This window comes from Homo sapiens, chromosome 11 (assembly GCF_000001405.40).
Source record: "Homo sapiens chromosome 11, GRCh38.p14 Primary Assembly".
Classification (NCBI taxonomy): domain Eukaryota; kingdom Metazoa; phylum Chordata; class Mammalia; order Primates; family Hominidae; genus Homo; species Homo sapiens.
The window spans coordinates 42,240,263-42,262,591 of NC_000011.10; the positions used below are offsets into that span (position 1 = coordinate 42,240,263).

Sequence of the window (22,329 nt, forward strand, 5' to 3'; positions counted from 1 at the left end):
ATTATTATTATAGATTTCACAGTCAGGTAGGCTTTGATTTGAATTCCAGTCTCTCATTTCCTAGCGGAAAGACCTCAGACAAGTCACATTAGTTGTCCCAATTTTGGTTCCTTCAACTGTCAGAGAATGATATTAATACGTACAAGGTGCTATGATAATTAAATTGGGTAGTGTCTGTAAAGCACTTAGCATAGTGCCTAAAAAAATGAACGTGACCTAGCTCAGCATGAGCTGACTCCTGCCTTTCTTGCCGGCCTCATCTGAACCAATTTCCTAATTTGTCTCTACCCTTATGACACCCTGGCCTTATTTTTTTGTTTCTCAAATCCTTCCGGCTTTTTCTAGTTTATGAACCATTGACTGTAATGTCTCTACTGCATAGTCTCCCAGTCTCTAACACTTCTGTTGCCAGTGTAATGTTTTTCAACATTTACTTTCACCTCTTAAATGAGGTTCCTCAAATAAATACATCAGTCTTTCTTTACACAGAATACGTGAGATTGTGATTATGTGTGTGTTTTGTTTTTTCTTAGCACCTTGCAGTTTTCTGCCACTGCATTTATTATAGTTTTAGTTATTATATAACTTATCTTTTAAAATGTTAGCATCTTGTGTTGAACTGAAAGCTTTATGAAGGAAAAAAACCTGCGTGGTCTTATTCACCAGTTACCTCCAGCCCCTGTCACAGTAACTAGTACCCAGGAGTTATTAAACCTTGTGGATTAAGTGATAATTCCATTCTCTGAATGTGAATCACAGGAAGAAAATCAGTGATCATTACCCACCTGGAAGGATGAGACGGCATCTGTGTAGCAAATGGGAAATATTTTCTGGGTCCAGACAAGCGATCATGGTCCTACAAAGAACAGAATTGCATCTCTGTTTTCCTTTTCCTTCTTCTATTTCTCAATGTATAGTGTCTTAGTTTGAGCTGCTTTAACAAATAGTCACAGACTGGGTAGTTTAAACAACAGAAATGTAATTTCTCACAGTTGTGGAGGCTGGAAGTCCAAGATAAAGGTGCCAGCAGATCTGGTGTCTGTTGCAGGGTGGCTTCCTGGTTTGCAAATGCCCATCTTCTCATTGTGGCCTCACATGGCAGCGAGCAGAGACAAAGAGCATCTTCTCCTGTCTCTTCTAATAAAGACCTAATCTAATTCATTAGTGTTCCACCTTCATTAATGAACTAACTCCCAAAGTCCCCACCTCCTAATACCAGCACATTGGGGGTTAGGATTTCAATATATGAATTTCGGAGGGACACAAATATTCAGTGCATAACATATACCCAACACAAGAGAGTCAATCAGAATGCACGGGCCCTTTACAGATAGGCCAGTTCTCCTGACAGAACTCGCACATGTTTCTCAGCCCAATTTTGATTGTACTCATTGATTTGGTAAGACATGGTCCAAAGGGTTTTCAGGAAGATTCAACATATCTGATAATGTGGCTATGTTCCCAAGTAGATATTTTAATTTCAGGACCATATTTAACTGTGAAATTTAGCTTCCTCAATGCCAAAAGGTAGTTCATACAACTTGACAAAAATCAGCCACAAAGACTCAAACTCCTGGTGTATACACATTCTACTATTATATGATTCTCTTGGAAGAAAGGTGTGTTTTCTTGTTTCTGGGTCTCCAGGGCCTGAAACAGTACCTAATATACGCTGGCACTTCATACATTTGTTGAATGAGTGAATGAATTGCTCAAACATAAGCTGATAACCCACATTGCAAGTATATATGGGAAACAAATTTATTGAGTGTCTGTTGCAGATATGTTTCATTTAGTAACTTATTTATTTCATACAACAATCTTACTGAAATGTAGCCCCTATTTACAGATAAAAATTCTGACCAAATCTGTCTTTTATTAAGCACAACACAGAGCTGGTCCCAGACTTCACGGAGTGTAAGAAAGATAATTACAGTGCTGCCTGGGGAGGTCTAACGTAGAAATTATATTGAGAAACTCTCTGTAAAAGAATATAGGAGTCCGTGAAAGAACACTTAAAATCTCCATGGACAAGATACAATTTTTGAAAGAAGTAATTTTATTCTGAACCCAAAATAATGAGAAGCAAATACTCAGATGACAAGCAGTAGATGAGATTTCCAGAAACAGAAAACAGCTAATGTGAATGCTTGTCTTAGAGGTTTGATTGGCAAACCTGAGAAAGACACAGAATGTTGGTGGGGATGGAAGGTAGAGCTTACGTGAGGAGCTGTGAGAGATTAGGCTGGCAGGGACTGGACTCACAGCAGTCCCATAATCCTAAGGTACAGAAAAACTATTACAAGCTTTTGAGCCAGGAAAGTACAAATATATATATATATATATATATATATATATATATATATATATATATATATTTTTAATTTTCCAAAATTATATTCTGTTATAGCATTGAAAATGGATTGAGGAAGGGTACAACTGCAAGAAGTAAGTGAGGGCCAGAAACAAAGGATTCCTCAGTAAGAAATAAGGGTGGTCCACAATAAAGAAGGTAAATTATCTGGGATGGGGGATACGGATATATTTTGGAATATTCAGAAAAGAATCAACACCTTGTGTAGTGGGTATTATGTCTAATTTATAGATACAAGATTCTAAGGTAAATGGAGGAAAATTGATGTGTCTGATGTGTCTGAGAACAGAGGGGGATCTCAAGACCAGGTAGCCCCCAGAGCTTAACTCTTCTCACCATGTGAAACCGTCTCCCAGTAGCCTAATGACCCAGACCTGTGAACTCTGTCATCTCCAACAGAGACCACCATTATCCACAACACAGCTTGAGCCTTCTCTGTATGGCAATCACACCACCTTCTGTTTCTTCCCCTTAAATATTGGCTGTTGTGCAAAGCACTTCAAATTATTAAATGCAAATTATCTTAGAAAATCGATTTCAGGATGCTTAGCCAGAGACTTTATTAAGCAGTTATTGATTGAAAGCAGAAAAGTTAACATGCAAATCAAATCTAGATTACCGGAGTCTCTCTCACACACATCTTCTAATACAGAGAGGATGCTGCTACTTAAAAAACAAACAAAAATGTTCCTTGTTGGCACCTCAGAAGCAAGCACCTCTTTGCTTATTTGTTTCTCTCCTTGACAAAAATAAACAAATCTTTAAAAACATAATGAGTCAGGACATTCTCTCTGTGGTAAATAAGTGGCTCTAAGGGACTCCAGAAGGCCCCTGTTGAGGGTCATTACCCCTTTGGGGCCCTCTGGGAAGCATTCAGTAAATAATTGCTTCCCCACCTTACATGGACACCCCAGTGTTCTAAGCATGGGCCAGGGCCAGAGAGTAACTTCTAAACTGGGAGGATTTGGCTGATTAACTTTCCATTAAACGTTTCCCAACTCCATGCTGAAACTTCAGGGATCAAGCTGAGAGCGGAGAAAAAAGTAACAATCTGAATGCTTGGCTGGTAATTAACATCACCAGGTGACAAATCAATACTACCTGGCTGTTCCCATAAACAATGATAACAGGGAGGACTAGACTTCCAGCCTTTAGCCTCCTGGTTATTTTTCTGTGGCTCCTATTGCTTTAAAGACAAAAGGTGAAACAGGGCCGGGTGGTATTTCTTCAGCTGTAGGTGGTATTGAGGTCTAAAAATGCAAACAGGTACTTCAAAGAAAAGAGTTTTGGCTGAAAAGTAAATACGATATAACCTGGAATGTTGAACAAAAATGTGAATTTAGGTGAGTGGTTTTTCAATGTTAACATATATAAGAATAACTAGATGATTTATTTATAAAGTAGATTTCAGAAATTAAGTTTCAGGAGTATTCATAAGTTTTCCAGGAGATTTTGGTGTGGGTAGGTCACAAATTACATGTGAAGAATCATGTTAAATACACAACTGTTTCATTTATTAGGTAGTTTTATCCAAAAAACTTAACAAGTATTTGTTTCTTAACAACTTATAGCTCTCTGAAAAAGTAATGCATATAATTTCCAAGAAAAAGTGATGTTCTTCTTTCTTAAATGACCACAAGTGGTGATTGCTAATGGGAGGTATGCACGTGTGGGGCACTGCCCACCTTTTCAAAGCTTGCAATGAGGTCAGACACTGCCCTCCTCATTTCCTGTTTCACATTGAAACATGGGGTTTCATTTTTATCCCAGCAACTGCTGAAAACTCAGCTTCCCAAAGATATGACAGCATTGAAGCGAATGTAAAGCAAACTAGCAATTCACACTGTGCCTGTCAGAAATGAGTATCACTTGGTTTTCCTAACAAGTTAAAATGTCCCAGTGTGTCCCTGGAATTTGGTGTAGCATCTCAATGTGCCTCAGCACACACCTTGGGAATCATGGGTGTAAGCAGCAGTAAAACCAGGCAGATTAGATGGGCTCTGACCCCCAGGGCCTATGTTAATTGGCAGATAATGGGCAGTTGAATGGAAGTTTGAGAATGAGGGATTGCCCATCCTTTTGGAAATAGAAGATGCTTTTTAATTTCAGGGCAAATGGTCTCTAGCATTCTAACTTGAGGCTTCTCAGTAAGCCTAACTGGAAGAATTTGTTACTAAATGGTATGGTTTTGTTAAGCCTAAAGAACTTTTAATTTAGAAATGCTATTTCTTTTCTGCATACCTACTGCGATGACTCGGGAAAATAGTAAAATACATACATTAGCTTATTTAATCTGCCCAACACATCTATGAAATATCGTTAGCCCTATTTTCTAGTTGAGGAAGCTAGAAATCAAATTGGCTAAGATACTTACCCAATATCCTACAGAGAGTAAATACTGCAGTGAGTCCCAGAACCCGTGTCTGACTCAAAAGCCCAAACTCTTTCCTCTATAAGCAAGGGCTTCAATTTTGAGAGAAAGCTACTTCTCAGGTGCCCACTATGTAGATCTGGAAGGTTCAGTTTGAGATTCCAATAAATTCCAGGTATAGATAACTCCCCTCTGACACCCAGATTTTTTTTTTAGTTAAGTTATTTGAGTAAATCATGTTATCACCTTATCTTATTGGGATTTAGTTCTTTTATCTACTTATGTTTACATAAAATAATGTTATCTGTGTTATTCTGTCAACCCAGGTCACTTAAAATCATCAGATTTTCATTGAGCCTTAAAAATGTCTCAAGCACTAAACTATGGGTGACAAATATATGGATTAGAAATTCTCTACACACTGGATGCTAAAAACTGTGTGTGTGTGTGTGTGTGTGTGTGTGTGTGTGTGTATGAGAGAGATATATATATATATAATTGGAGACACAAAAGGAGATGCAGTTTCATTGTGCCAGGATCAATAAAAGGGGATTTTTTTTGTCCTATTTTGTAACTTATACTAAAACAGACACCACTCCTCATATCTTCTGTGCTTCTACTAATTTACTACTCACACAAACAGTTTTTAGCACCTAGTGTGTAGAGAATTTCTAATCCATATATTTGTCACCCATAGTTTAGAGCTTGAGATATTTTTAAGGCTCAATTAAAATCTGATGATTTTAAGTGAACTGGTTTAACATTAGAATAACACAGATAGCATTATTTTAGGTAAACATAAGTAGATAAAGGAACTAAGTCTCAAAGAGATAAGGTGATAACATGATTTACTCAAGTGACATAACTAAAAAGCTGAACAATTTTTTGAGAACCATTTATAGCCATTAACTGTTCTTTTTCCCCTATTTTTAAAAATTTGTTTTCAGAGCGTTAACTATGTGTAAGTGGTTGAAGGAAACATAGAATCCATAAAAACTCTTACCTAAACATAATGCTCTAACCTAACTAAAGGTTAAAGAATCTAAGGAAACTTTGTGTTTAGTACCACTAAAAACACACAAAAGTACTGATATTCATAGATTTTTAGGGCCTACAATTGTCCTTAATGTTATTCAATATTAAATACTCGTATTAGCTACTGTTATTATTAAAGAGTATTTAAATCTCTAACTCAAAATATATAGATGTTATTTGTATAGATAATGACATAGATATGCACACAGATATACATATCGAGTTAAAAACTGTCAGTGTTTTCTCTTCACATTCTGGGATTTCCCTAATATTTTAGTCATATTGATATGTCAATTTCCAAGGCAGGAAAAAGCAAGGAAGCAATTATTTTAATTATTTTCTGTTAGCTTTCTGATCCCAATTACTAAAGAATGGTATTAACCTGAAGTATTTATTTATTCATGTGTGTGTGTGTATTTATATATATATATATATAAAATATAAGTATATATATTTACATACACCACTGTTCAATTGATATGTATATATTGAACCGTGGTTTACAGAGAGTGGGGACGAAGGGGAAGAAGCATTGATTTTGTTTTGGTAATTTTCATTTCAATTTCCATTTCATTATTAAGCAGAAAAACGTGCACATTAAGCTGAAAACATGAGTGACATAATTCTCTTTAGTACTACAGAGGTTTACATTTTAACATTTACTTGACTGTGTTTATGCTCCATGGATAAATGGGTAAGTGGTTAAGAGAGCACATACAGAAATTAAAAAAAAAATATTATGGTATCTTCAAACCAGAGAAGGAGAAAACATTTAATTACAGAGTGAAATTGATGCTGTTTTGATAGCTGAAAGTACAATCTTCTACCTCTAAATTATATTAATTAGAAGGTGGAGGTTTTCAGCCCCTATTACACGCTCAGCATGGTGCTTGGGTTGGGGGTTCAGTAATAAACAAGAAAGATTCAATTTCTTGGCATTTGCGGCATCACTTAGTTTTATACAATCCTCACAGCAGCCTCTGTAGGTAGATCTTGTCTTCTTCATTTTACAAATGTGCAAACCAAATTCAAGGAGGTGAAGTAATTTGTCTATGATCACATATGTAGGAAGTGTTGGAGTCGTAACATGAACTCAAGCCTTTTTTATTTTGAAGTCTAATTATTTTCGCTATACTTGGATTCCTCTCAGTCCAGACATATTAAAGATAAACAACTAATTACTTATTAATTGCTTCTCAATCTTTTTTCAACTTAGACTGGTTTCATAGATAATTTTACACTCTCTAGAAAACACGATAATCTTAACTTTGAATATAGTCTAATATTACATATGATAATGGTAATCACTCATTTCAGAAACCATAGGATTCCCTCTAACTTTTTACATCTCAGGTTTATCACCATTAGGCTTGCAAAAGTAATTAGGAAGAATCACCATGTTCCATTTATACCCCCATTTCAAACAATTAATGGTGTAGAGCTGTTGTATTAGTACGTTCTCACATTGCTATAAAGAACTGCCTGAGACTGGGTAATTTATAAAGAAGAAGAGGTTTAATTGACTCACAGTTCCACAGGCTGTATAGAAAGCATGGCTGAGGAGGCCTCAGGAAACTTACAATCATTGCGGAAGGCCAAGGGAAAGCAGGCAAGTCTCATTCTCACATGGCGGGAAATGAAGGAAGAGAGAGAGAGAAGGGGAAGGTGCTACACACTTTTAAACAACCAGATCTCATAAGAACTCACTCCTTATCATGAGAACAGCAAAGCGGAAATCTGCCATCATGATCTGATCATCTTGCATCAGGCCCCTCCTCCAACACCGGGAATTAGAATTCAACATGAGATTTGGACAGAGACACAAATACAAACCATATCAACTGTCTTTTCTAAATTCTGTCCCCTGATCGACTACTTCATCCTCATCATGGAAGCTTATTAAAAAATAAAGATTCTGGCCAGGCACGGTGGCTCACGCCTATAATCCCAGCACTTTGGGAGGCCGAGGTGGGTGGACCGCCTGAGTTAAGTAGTTCCAGACCATCCTGTGCAACATGGTGAAACTTCGTCTCTATTAAAAACACAAAAACTAGCCAGATGTGGTGGTGCGTGCCTGCAATTCCAGCTACTCAGAAGGCTGAGGCACAAGAATCATTTAAGCCCAGGAGGCAGAGGTTGCAGTGAGCCGAGATCATGCCACTACACTCCAGCCTGGGTGACAGAGTGAGACCCTGTCTAAAATAAAATAAAATAAAAATAAAATAAAGTAAAATGAGATTTTCTACCCTCTATTGAATTAGCATTTCTAGGAGATAAAAAAAAAAAAAAAGCCTGAGGAGTCCGATTTTAATCCATTTGCCTAGGTCATTTCAGTCTAAAACCACTATGAGAACTACTTCTATATGAAATACTATACTATATATGGAGTAGAAGTATATCTCATGCCCTTTATTACTAAAGCTGATTATTAAAAGGTCAAAACCTCAACTGGAATAGTAGCAAGTTCAGTACTGTTCTTTTAGAGGGGACTGGACTTCTCACCACTGTTGTTGAGAAAACAAACCAAAAAATCAAAAAATAAAGATTTATGCAAAATGGATTCTATTCCTAGGACAAAACAGGGAAAGTCCTGGACTATAAGTGTTTTACTGATTTGTTATTGCTTCTGTTTCTCTTCCTGCCACATCATTGCCATTAAAAGTCAGTCTTTGGCCAGGTGCAGTGGCTCACGCCTGTAATCCCAGCACTTTGGGAGGCCGAGGCGGGAGGATCACCTGAGGTCAGGAGTTCAAGGCCAGCCTGGCCAACATGGCAAAACCACATCTCTACTAAAAGTACAAAAATTAGCTGGGCATGGTGGCAGGCACCTGTAATCCCAGCTACTCAAAAGGCTGACGCATGAGAATTGTTTGAACCCGGGAGGCGGAGGTTGCAGTGAACCGAGATCCCGGTATTGCACTCCAGCCTGGGTGACAAGAGTGAGACTCCATCTCAAAAACAAACAGACAAACAAACAAAATGTCAGTCTTTTTAGATTAGACCTCCTGAACATTGAAGAAAAGTGATGTCAATCATTTGAGACTGAGCATGGAAATCTGCTCAGTACTTCAACTCCAATTTTCATCCTCAACACAGCTATCCACCTAAGTCTCCCTAGGAGTTATGTCTAATGTGGCCTCCATATCCTGCCCTCAATTCAAAAGCAAAGTAGTGCCTTCTACTCCCTTTCTCAGTCAAGAGAGCTTGACGGCTTCCAGTGGACATAGACCTCTGAATTAAGACACGCCCATTTGTGAAAAGTTCCCAGTATTTCCTCTACCTTATCTCTGGAAACTTTTCATTCTTTATTACAAAGGATGATTATACTATTCCTTCTTTCCAATAGAGCTTAATTGTCTTTTAAAAGGTCGAGACTTTAAAACCACTAAAGATGTTTTCCTGAGAGGGTCATTCATGCCGGGTCTGCAATACAATTCACTCTTCCCAGGATCACCAAATGAATCTCTGAGTCTTCTTAAAAATAATAAAAGTAACAGCAGAAATTCATGTTAGGGCTTTGTAGCATGGATATAAATGCATGCATTCCTTATTACTGACATCATGGTCTCCATTTTTTTCAATTACTATGTTCCCTATGTCAAGACGAAACAAAGGAGAAAAAGCTGCTTTTTAAGAATGTACACTAATTCCCTCCTAAATCATTGTGCTAAAATATCAAAAGAAATTATAGCTGTCTGCGCTAGAGATGTATGAAGTGATGTGTCCACACCTTTTCAGTTCCTGTTAGTAATCAAAACAAGTGTTTCTAAACCACTTTCTCTTTGCTCCGTAGAACACAAATTCTAGAGGATGATAATATGTTTTACACACACAACACAATTTCCTCCATCAAGTGTTATAGAAAACAACCAGTACAACAAAATCTTTTACTGCAGATTCCATAAATCAATCTGAATCTTCAGAAAAAAATTGTAATTTTATAGTTTTCCTCAAGCTAAATTCATGGAACCATTTTTCCACTGAATATCTTGAATGACTGACATTTTACAAAGTTCACCCTAGGAAATGTTAATTGCAGCCAACTTCTGTTATTCATCATTCAGTCAACCAATTTTGAATACCAGCAATGTTATCAGCAATCCTATGAGAAATGGTGTAGGAATGGAAAAGTGTCTAGGAAGGAAAGGAAAACAATACACAATATGATAAACATTATCTTACTTGTCATACACTATGATATAATAACACTAATAGTTATCGTAACTACCTCATATGCATTCTCATTTAACTCTTTCCAATGTTTTCTGAACTCCAGCAACCGTGCAGAGCACATAGAAGTCACAATAGAAATATGAAGTCATTCACCGACACTTTTTCCTTCCTTGCATAAGAATATGTTTTAAAAATCTGTATCTATGAATACACAAATACAGTATCATAGTCATGCAAAAAGGTATCATATTATACATATTATGACTGTGTGTTTTAAGTGCAATATGTTTTTTCTTTTAGATATACCATCCCCATAATAGATACCGCATGTTAGGCTTATATACCATAGTTTTTTCCATGATCATATGATTACATACATATGCCTGTACATCTTTAAAGCCTGTAGACACAGCTGGAATTCTCATTTAAGAAACATCAGTGGGCCAGGCACGGTAGCTCACACTTGTAATCCCAGCATTTTGGGAGGCCGAGACAGGATGATCACGAGGTCAGGAGATTGAGACCATCCTGGCTAACGGAGTGAAACCTCGTCTCTACTAAAAATATAAAAAATTCGCCGGGTGTGGTGGCACATGCCTGTAGTCCCAGCTACTTGAGAGGCTGAGGCAGGAGAATTGCTTGAACTCAGGAGGCAGAGGTTGCAGTGAGCCTAGATCACGCCACTGCACTCCAGCCTGGGTGATAGAGTGAGAGCCCATCTCAAAAAATAAAAAAAATAAAAATAAAGACACCTCAGTGATCTTGATTTCAGAAGACATTCTATAGAAACCTAAAATATCTAGGACATCAAGCTGAAAAGGGACTCAGAAGAGTTCTGCCATGGATATGAATAAGTTTTAATGAAATTTGATCAATTTTTTTTACATGTTCATTTTTAGGTATGAATAAAGTTATATAAGATAAGCTTCGATACTTAGTAGAATCTAAATGAGCACTTCAAATGAGAGTTAATTTTTTAAGTTATAAAAAAGTCTTCCAGTTCAAGACCAGCCTGGGCAATATGGTGAAACCCCATCTCTACAAAAACTACAAAAATTAGATGGGCATGCTGGTGCATGCCTGTGGTCCAAGCTACTCGAGAGGCTGAAATAGGAGGATTGCTCGAGCCCAGGAAATGAAGGCTGCAGTGAGCCATGATTGCACCACTGCACTCCACACTGGGTGACAAAGCAGGACCCTGTCCCCCTCCACCCCCCAGTGAAAACCTTCTGTTATGGTTTAATCTCAGCATGTTTTCTTATATGAAATGATAGTGGGTTTTGCAATCAATGATACCTTAGGTTCAATAAAATATAGTACATAAACACATATGCATACATATGAATTTTTTATCTTTTTTATGAAAATAGAATCATAGTTTATATAGTTTAATATTACATTGTTTTTCTCAATGCTATCTTATGGAAATTTCTCCAAATCTAAATAATATATCTCAAATTAATCTATTTTATTGGCTAAATATTTCCCAATGAATTCATTATTGCATTCCTCTATTGATAGGCATTCACTTTATTCTGCTTTGTTTCCACTATAAACAATGGTATAATAAATATGCTTATAAATGTGTCTTTACATACTGTAGATTTGTTTATTTGCAATAGATTTACAGAAATGGGATTGTTGGGTCAAGATGAGTATGGCTATAGTTTGAATATGTGCCCTCCAAAATCAGGTATTGCCAATGTGTTAATATTAAAAGCTGGTGCCTGTAAGAGGTCATGGTTGTTCCTCCTTCATTGATGGGATTAAAACCCTTATAAGCCCCACATAGCATTAGGCTATCGTTTGCCCTTCTGCATTTTGCCAAGTGAAGACACAGTGTTCCTACCCTCCAGAGGATAAAGTGTCAAGGCAGCATCTTGGAAGCAGAGAATGAGCCCTCACCAGGCAACCAAACCTGCTGGTATTAATACATTGTTCTGGGACTTCCCAACCACCAGAACCGTGGGAAAATAAATTTATATTCTTTATAAGTGACTCAGTCTGAGGTGTTCTGTTATAACAGCACAAATTGACTAAGACATGTATCCAATATAAAATCTGATAGACCTTGCCAGTTTGCTTTCCTGAAGGATGAAAAGACTCTAACTTATTTTAGCAGTGTGTGAAAATATTTTTTCTTACAATCATAACAGAAATAGATATTATGATTCTTTTTGAAGTTGGCTATACTTTAACTGATTTTTGAATACCTTGTCTATATTTATATGTCATTAGGTTTTTTTTAAGGATTTTCCTATTGATATATTTTATCTATTTTTCTATTTGGCTATCTTTTTGTCAGTTTATAGGAACTATTTGTATATGATAGGTAAAATATTTTTGTTATCAGAAATATATTTGTTCCAAATCTTTGACTACTGTCTTTATATATGAAAATTTTTCCTCATTAAATTATTCTTAATTTTTCATCTTTATCTTTAATCTTATTACTCCAGAGTATGCAGATTTGGTTAATTTCTACTAGATTTTCTTGCAAGTTTTTTGTTGCTCTTTTGTTCTTTTAATTTTTTATTCCTTTTGGAATTTATTTTGTATACATTAAAATCGATGTTGAATTTTATTTTTATCCAGTATGTCATCACCACTTACTAAATATTGCATCCTATCCCACTTATTTGACTGGACTCTTAATTTTACATATACTACCTTCTTATATACACAGATACATGATCTGAATTATCTTTCAGGTTCCGGTGACATGTTGATCTATCCCTCTACCAATAGCACATTGACTATCACAAGGCTTGATAATGTATTAATAGCTAGATGACAAATACCTCTCACTAATCTTTTATTTTCCCCCCAACTCCTTCTCTTACCTATTCCCAGACATTTATTCTGCTATGTAAGCTTTAAGAAATTTTCTTCCAACCCTTTTTAGCAGCTGTCACTGTTTAAAGAAGGAAGAAGGAAGAATTTAACCTAACATTAGTGAGATAATGTATATAAAGTAACATACTTTGTGAATGGCAGAGGGAATATTTTATCCAGCCCAATCTGATAGATCTGATTGTAAAATAATTAGCATTACACCCAATTCTACCTACATGGTTTCCTTTGATGCTTACCAAAGACTTGTAGCTATAGTTTTCTATTTTTACAGATAAGGAAGTGAGATGACTAAAAGGGGAACTAATTTGTGCATGTCATTTTTAGGCATATTTCCTTATTCTTTTTATTTTTTATTTTTTTAGACAGAGTCTTGCTCTGTTGCCAGGCTGGAGTGCAGTGGCGTGATCTTGGCTCACCACAACCTCCACCTCCTGGTTTCAAGTGATTCTCCAGCCTCAGCCTCCCGAGTAGCTGGGAATACACGTGTGCACCACCACACCCAGCTAATTTTTGTCTAAGTACCTGTCTAAATACCAAAATACCTTTATCCTCAGCATGAAAATGCCTGTGCACTTTGCAGAAATCAGTCTAAGCAGCTCTGGACATGAAAGTGAAGCAAAGTGGGTGTGATCATCTGAGGAAAAAAAAAATCTGCATTCAATGTGCAACATCACAATCAGTAGGGCATTCTGTTGCCAGTAACCTGGATACTGAGCCTGGTTTTGACCAACGGCAAATTTTCGGAACTCCTGACAATGCAGCAGGAATCACAAGCCTTTTGAATCAAATCCTGTGATTCAGGTCTTAAAACCTGAACTTGACTGCCTCCCCATGGGAGTCACAAGTTCAGAACTACTGGCTTTTGTAAAATTAGATCAATGAAAACCTTGATACAATCCTTGTCCACATCTTCAAAACCAGAAGACCTCATATTCCAGTTTGCCCAGAATAGTCCAGGTTTATGTCTATTGTCCAAGTTTGCTTAATAAGAAAGTCCCTTTACTCTCAAAATTATCTCAGCAGGGATAATACATTATATGGTCATGCTATTCAGAAAGAGACAATGTGAGACATGGCATATGTAGTAGTACAGAGCTGAACGAGCTCACAGGGTAAGGTTTACAGGGTTATTAGCAGAGAGCCAGAGGGCAAAAACTCCAGGAAAAAACAGCCATCACTTGTTATATGTTATTGCTATCTTAAAGAACCATTTTCTGGTCAGGTGAGGTGGCTAAAGCCTGTAATCACAGCACTTTGGGAGGCTAAGGCAGGCAGATCACTTGAGGCCAGAGTTCAAGATCAGCCTGGTCAACATGACAAAACCCCATCACTTTGCCTGTTGCCATCCATGTAAGATGTGACTTGCTCTTTCTTGCCTTCCACCATGATTATGAGGCTTCTGCAGCCACGTGGAACTGTAAGTGCAATTAAACCTAGTTCTTTTGTAAATTACCCAGTCTCAGGTATGTCTTTATCAGCAGCATGAAAATGAACTAATATAACACTCAACCTCTCTTTTCTGTCTATATGAAGTTACCTATTATCAATATTTTATATAAATAAAAACATACAATATGTGATATTTTGTACACATATACACATATATACACATATACACATTTATAATATAAATAAAGCACATATATAAAATGCATATATAATTTATATTTCTTTCCATATATATAAAAATACAAAAAAAACACATTTTTTGTGTTTATCCATTGATCGACATTTGGGTTTTTCTACCTTTGGTTATTATGAATAGCAGTGTTATGAACATTGATGTGAAATTATTTGTTTTCAGTTTTGGGAGGGTATATATACCTACCTAGGATTGAAATTGCTGTGTCATATGGTAACTCTATGTTTAAATTTTTTAGATGATTGCTGAACCATGTTCTACAGTGGATATCATGTTACATTCCCGCCAGCAATGTACAACTGTTCTACTTTCACCCTATCCTTGCCAACACTTTTTTTTTTCATTTTTTAAAATTCTAGTAGGTGTGAAGTGCTATCCATTGTGAATTTTCTATATCTGGGATTTTGTAATCTGTAAATAGAGATAGTTTTACCTCTTCCTTTTTAATTTGGACATTATTTATTTATTTTTGCTAATTGCTTCACTGAGAACTTCCAGTACAGTGTTAAACAGAAGGATCAAAGTTAGCATTCTAACTTTTCTTTCTCCTGATGTTAGCGGGAGAGCTTTCAGTCTTTAACCATTGAATATGATTGTGGTTGTTGATTCTTCATAAATGACTTTTATCAGGTTGAGGAAGTTATCTCTACTCCTAGTTTGTTGAGCATTTTATCATAAAAGTCTGATGGATTTTGTTATATGTCCTTTCTCATAAATAAGATTCTGGGTAAAACAAAATAAAAGATGAAAAGAATAATGAATGATTGATCAGGAAAACTAAAATTAAAGGATGAGTTGATTTATAATTAGATAGAAGAGAAATGAGAATTACTTTAGATGTAGAAGGAACAACATGATCAAACCCTCATAGGCCTATGTAAGCATGATATAAGAATAGTAGGTGACTTTAGCTGCTTTTCAGTAACTCCCTACATTATGTTTGAAAACAATTCTATGTAGGTGTTCCAACAGCCCCAGCTGAGATCTCAGATAACAGCCAGTGTCAATTGTTAAGCAGGTGAGTAAAGAAGTTTTCATGATGATTTCTGACCAAGCCATAATCTCTTAACTGTGTGATGCTGATTAAGAACCACCTGACTGAAATCAGTAAATCCCCAAACCTATCAGAGATAAATAAAGAAATGATTGTTTTTGCTTTAAGCTGCTGAGTTTGGGGGCATTCTGTCACACAGTAGTAGATAAATGAAAAACAGAAACAAAACAAAAACTCCATAATCATACTGTAGAAGTAAGGTTGGATTATGCAGAGAGAAGTAGATTTCATACAAGGCTTGAGTAGAGTTGTTTATAAATTCAAGTTATTCATTCACTAGGCATTTTATCTAACATGCACAAGGCCAAGTCACAGACACTAAAAAAACAAACATGAGCACAAAATAGTCCCTGCTTCAGAGACAGTCAGTACCCAAGGAGGAGAACAGACCATACCGAAGGCAAGCAACAGTAAAAGAGCATGTGTCCTACAAGAATGGTGGTGCATGCTCAATGTCATGGGAGCACAAAGGAGGAAGTGAGATTCTATGTAGAGACAAGAAAAGGAAGAGATTTTCAAAATAAAAGGAGGAATTCATTTTGAAATGTGGAAAATAGGGAGGAGAATTTCCAGTAAAAAGGAACAACAAGTATATATACAAGTACATAAGTGTTAAATTATGTGGTTTATCCAGGGCCTGTAAGAAGTCAATCATGGCTCCTGACTAACATGGTGAAACCCCGTCTCTACTAAAAATGCAAAAAATTAGCCGGGCATGGTGGCCGGCGCCTGTAATCCTAGCTACTCGGGAGGCTGAGGCAGGAGAATAGCATGAACCTGGGAGGCAGAGGTTGCAGTGAGCAGAGATCGCGCCACTGCACTTCAGCCCCTGGGCGACAGTGTGAGACTCTGCCTCAAAAAAGAAAAAAAAAAAAAAAAAGAGAAGTCAAACATGGCTTGAGTATTGGGGACAGGGAGGGGTGACAAGAAATAGTGCAAGATGAAGTGAGTGACATTTTAAAGTAATTCGGGCTCTAATCTGTACTCTGAAGGAAGACAATCACTAAGATGAATATTAGCATAATATATTATACAAAGATAAAAAGACATCCTGATGACTTCAGATTTTTTTCAGGAGAAAAGGGGTTTTCTCATCAGAATCACTATAAGCTATACTGTCTTTCTTAGCAAACAGTACAGAAAATACAGTCTAGTCACCGTAAGAGCCCTTTGGAAAGGGATTGGTCATTTAAATTAAGTCATAATATGCACGTAAAATTTAACGGATGATATCAAATGGTATCTCTTCTAACTTCCCTCTTCTCTTTTCTGACTATATTTCTCTTTACTACTACTATACACACAAAACCTCCAATTAAATAAGAATTATTCATATATCCTTCCATAACAACTTCCTTACAAAGAATAATAAAATGATAATCACAAATACAACTAAAAAGTGCTATCAAGTGAAGGCATTAGTGCACCTCTATGATCCAATCACCACATTAACACTTGGAGACATAGTTCCAAGCCTTCCCAAAGTATCTTTTTTCTCTGATTATGACAGAGCTCTTGATCATCCTTCCTGGCAGCCTTCTTTCACTGCAAGTCAAAAATTATGATGACCCTTTGGAATATACTGTTCAAATTTTAAAATGTCAGCTTAAATATCTCACTGAAGCTTGTGAACCCCTAGCAAAGAATAGGAATGCAGCTTCCAAATAAACAACTGATTTGCTTGGATGGTGTCCAAAAAGGGTGATAAGTGTCCCCTTGAAAGGGTGCATTGGAATTACATTACCCTGGGTCTATATAAAATATTATTACTAATATATTCTGCATGCATGTTTACTATTAATAATACTATTAAATAATAATAGCTATGTGCCTGATGATGATCTTAGCACTTTTGTTGATTAAGTCATTTAATCTCCACAGTCAGCATTATAAGATAGTTATCTCTCATTTGGGATGCTCACTCTTGGAACCCAGCCACCATGTTGTGAGAAAGCTCAGGCCACATGCAGAGGCCACATGTGAGTATTTCAGCCAACAGCTCCAGCTGAGGCCCCAGCCAGCAAACAACGTCAACTTCAGGCATGTGTACCAATGAGCCTTCAGATACTAGCGTCTCAGCCTTGGAGTTCTGCAGCTGAGACCCTAGAAACCATGGAGCATCCCTCCTGTGCCCTGTATAAATTCCTGACCCACAGAAACTGTGAGAATGGTATGGTAATTTATAATGCAAAAACAGATAACTAATAGAGTAATAGAGTGGGTAACTAATATTTACACATTGCAGATGAGGAAACACTGCTGTAACTATTTCTTACAGTGTCTGTTTTCTCCAATAAGCTTCATTAGGCCAAAGATCAAGTCTTATTCATCTTTGTATTGTTTGCCCTAAGCACTGGTCCTGGCACTAATAGCAAGCAATGAACATCTGTTCAATAAAAGGAGAATGAGAACTGTAGTTAGAGAGTAGAAAGAGCCATTCTCCTAAGTGAACTTATCCTTTCTTTACCCAATTCTCCCTGAGGACAGTCATTATTCACATAAGCAAGAAAACTAAACTATTCATTTATTACAGAAAGTGAAGCCTGTGAAAATTGAATAAAGGAGGTGAATCACAATCTGGAGCTGACTTAAGAGGTATTTTTGCAGGAAGACTGTTGAACCTAAAGTATCTTTCCACCAACTACTGAGACAAAGGAATCTTCTTTTTTCCTAACATTATTTTTAGCAATGGAAGTCTTCTAAACCAATAGATGGCAATGCCAGCTAGTAATGAAAGAGCCCAGAGACCAGAATCCTTCCTATCTTTAAACTTTAATTTATTATACGTTGTCTCCCTCAGATGCTGTGGCCCGCTCCCTGGTTTTATGTACAAATAGCAGAGAAACACCTATAAGCCTCTAGCAATTCTTTCAGTTCCTTTTCTGTGTCTGTGCTTCCCTTGGCAGGATTCTGTGTGTGCTTTGCATCCAGTGGGGTGTTACTGTAATGCTTTGTAACAGAATCTGCCCTTGCACTACTGGTACCATTTGGCAAAAAGGGCTAGGAGTTGAAGTCCCCCTGAGGTATCCCATAGACAATGACTGATGGATGTAAGCTTATGAAGCTCAGCTCTTCTTGACTTAGGAAAAATTCTTCAGAGTGATTTACATTCCAGAACTCCCCTTCAGGATCCATTTGAGGCCAGAACTTATGATTTTCTTCCTTGCCCAGCTTACCTTAGTATCTTAAAGGTTTGTCCTGGGTGTATGATTTTTTTAAAATAAATCAATTGTCACAAATCCTAATCATAGAGTCTGCTTCTGGAAAACTAACTTCAAGCAAAAGTGTATCAGCAACTTTTTTGAGAAAAAGAAGTAAGATCCTGTTAACAAATGATCATAAAGGAGGGCACTATTTTAACTCCCTTAGCTATTATTTAACTTCCCAATTGTATTCAAATTTCCCTAGAGTATTACAACAATGTGCAAAAAACAGGCATCCACCAGGCACAAAGAAAATAGAGAATAGTGACTTCAGTATCAGTGAGAAGTAATGATTACTTTATGACATTAGCTGTCATCTTAGGTGCAAGCTCTATGAGAGCTCACATATTCAAATGTGTCAGATTATACACACACACACACACACACACACAGCATATCACAATTTTCTCCTAGTTTAACACTCTTTTTATGTCCAACAATTTCCATTACCACAACAACTCACATTCCATAATACCCAATCAGGATATCAAGAGATAGTTGGGAGGAGGCAGCTTACAAGTAAAACATGTCCTCCTAGGATGAAGATATTTGTTCTTGGTTGTATGATTTACATCCTCATTTTCTCCTTGTGAACCTTCCAACATTTTCTTGACAACAATGCCAATTGGCACTGCTGAATTCCAAACACATAAGAGTATTTCCAATAATTTTGGATCTGAGTTATATAAATATTGTGTTGTACATAGGTAAAGAGAAAACTACATTTTTTGCCCAAATCACATAAAAGGTCTGTAACCCATCTGAAAGTAATACAAAGTATAGGCAGGTTTCCTTTTCTATGCCAAGAAAATATGAATGTGAAACTAGGTAAAAGCAAAAGATGTGTACTTACTGCTTGAGCAAGACTCACAACTGTTAACCTTAACTCTGTTGGAATATTCTCCTTTGTAAACCTACCTAACAAGATACTTCAACTCTGAAGTAATAGCTTATCATAACTCAACAACATACTTATTCTACCTGTCATACAATGATAGATGTGCCACCTCCACATAATTTTGTTTGACACAAGGACTGTTGTGGCCTAATAATCACCACTCAAAATATAGTCAAATCTTATCAGGGTAAGGAATAAGTTCAATTTTACTACAAGCCAGACACTTTGCCAATAATGCTGATCCTATGCTAAACGGATTAAGTAAGGGTCATTGGGAAGGGCAGAGAAAGACCAACTTTGACCACAGGGTTGACCCCATCCATCAAGTTCAAACCTTAGATATAACAAAATCTAAGTCAAAAATTGCAATCTCTAGGGCATGGTATAAAATAACATTCAGTCTGGAGAACTGTACAGGAAAGTCTGGTTTGGGTGGAAGCTGGGTGATCTACAGAGTGCCGCACTGGGGTTTTAAGCAGCAAATCTTGGTATTGAATAAGAATCAAAATTATCATTTGATAGTAATTCATGTGAGAGTAATCAAACCCAGAATATGAGTCCCTGGAAAAGAAGCTAGCATAGATAAGATGATGGATTCAGATTCAGAAACAGCTTGCAGATTATTGAATAAAAATCAGGCAGCAGAGACCCACGGATGTTGACTAATATGGCACACAGTGAAATTAGTAAAGAGACTGCATTGCAATTCTCCACTGTGTTAAGGATTGATATAGTGAACCCCTCTCTGCTTTCACCCAGGCAAGTGATGCAGGGTAGAGACTTTTGAAGTATGTACAGATCCCACTGGTCATGAGGAAGAGGTGGCAGTGCCCAACTGTACAGGATTCTAATAGGTTCTAGCATCTTCTTCCTCCTTCTCCTTCTCCTCTTCCTCCTCCTCCTTTTCTTCTCCTTCTTTTCATCCCCCTCCTCCCTCCTAATGATGATGATCATCATCAAAATTTATTGAGCTCTTGCCATGTGCCAAGTACTGTTGTAAACACTTCGCATATAATAACTGATTTAATCTTTACAACATTGATACCAGAAAGGTGGTGTACAGACCCAATTTTACAGAAAAGGAAGCTAAAGCACAGAGTTCTTATATAATTTGCTCTAGTTTCCAGGATAGTTAAGGGTGGTTCCAAAAGTTAAACTCAGGCAGGTATTAGAGCCCCACAGTCTAGGAAAATACATCCCAGTGGCCAGTGATTTCTATACTAGCAAGTACTGTTATGCATGGCAGACTGTGTCTTATATTCAAAGGAATTGCCTTTGAATTTGCAGAAAGAAATTCATGTGTCTCTCTTAAATCTCATTTTAAACTATCATTTCTAAAATTCCCCTAAGATTCATCTACTCCACAGGTAGCTCTTCATCTTCTGAAATCCTTTATTGCTTATTTGAGACTTACTGTTTATACCGAATCACTAGTTCTCACTGTATTTGTTTGCCTTGTAAGCCTAACTGTGCTGAATTATTTTTGAAGAAAGATATTAGAGGTACTGCATATATAGAGCCTGGCATAGAGTCAGCACTTAATAGAATCCTGTTGACAGATTAATTGCAGATTTGATAAAACAGGGATTTTCCCGCAATGGGATATATTGCCAAGAAGATGCCATCAAATCCCCTTTCAGGAGATATTTATAAATAAGATTCATTTTCAGCCACTTCAGGTCATTTACTGAGTTCCTACTAGAAGTGAAAGGAATGGCCTCCAAAATTCCCTTCTAAGCGTGTGATTTGTTAACACTGGGAACTGTCTTTCTAAACTCCCATATCCCTTTCCTTCAAGGTATTTACAACAATGAGACTCAATAATCCTGCCCTTATCCATAATATAATGTTTTGGAAAGATCATAAGCTTTGGGATTAGTCAGTTTGGGATATTCATTTTTAGTCTATAATGTAAAATCTTGGAAAACGTGATCAGTTTTTACCTCTCTAAGCTGCTGTTTTTTTTTTTCACTTGCAGAATGAATTCAATGACAGCTACCTCATAGGTTTGTTCTAAAAAAAAATGTAAAATTGTGTAAGTTAACACAGTGTCTGTAAAACCATAAACACTCAAAAGATTTTAGTGCTCTTTAATTTCTTCTAACTTAATCTTTGATAAAAAGATATTCCCATAAGTTATTATGTTTCAGTAGAGAATGGCCATTTGTCATGGGTTAGTTTGTGAATATGCATGAATATATATATAAGATTGTTACACCACAAAGCTCAAATTAATTAGAAGATAGATAAACTCTAGATATCAACCCTGGGGATGGCTACAATCTGATAACACAAAAAAGTAATCCATATAGCACTTCTAAATAATAAAAAAATTACTAGCATTTAGATAATAAATTGTTTGTTTCCAGAAAGTGAGTGGCTATAATACGATGGCCGTCCATTGCAGAGCTCAGAGAGACAAGGACTCCCCAAGCAGTTGCCAAAGCTATAAAAAGAAAATGTTAACAACTGGAAAGATTTTAACATTTATATAAATCAGTGTGGTAGCAAATAACATAAACAGCAAAATAACTAATAAAAATGTAGTTCATTATTTCTATACCAGAATATCTCAGCTTTGAAAAGTTACAGAGGGAGACAAAGAATAACGTGAAATTGACATATTAACATTGGTATTAGTAAGGGGTTGTATCATTTAGGACTGGGAAAGAGTGCTGAAAGAGGTATCAAAAGATTATTTCAAACCAGGACACGGTTCAGAG

At 36.7% G+C, this 22,329-nt stretch overlaps 2 long non-coding RNA genes across 2 annotated transcripts in view; one reads left to right on the plus strand and one right to left on the minus strand.

Moving 5' to 3' along the window:
- LINC02740 (long intergenic non-protein coding RNA 2740) overlaps positions 1 to 13,428 on the minus strand; it is a 65,948-nt gene extending 52,520 nt beyond the window's left edge. The window contains exons 1-2 of the long non-coding RNA NR_038309.1: positions 13,352 to 13,428; positions 786 to 856 (exon numbers count right to left, since the gene is read on the minus strand). This is a non-coding gene — a long non-coding RNA (long intergenic non-protein coding RNA 2740). The remainder of the gene's footprint in view (positions 1 to 785; positions 857 to 13,351) is intronic.
- Positions 13,429 to 13,549: 121 nt separating this feature from the next.
- LOC105376642 (uncharacterized) lies at positions 13,550 to 21,669 on the plus strand. Its single transcript, XR_931222.3, has 5 exons — positions 13,550 to 13,766; positions 15,412 to 15,469; positions 17,387 to 17,484; positions 18,039 to 18,100; positions 21,585 to 21,669. It is a non-coding gene; the product is annotated as an uncharacterized LOC105376642 (long non-coding RNA).
- The last annotated feature ends 660 nt before the right edge of the window (positions 21,670 to 22,329 follow it).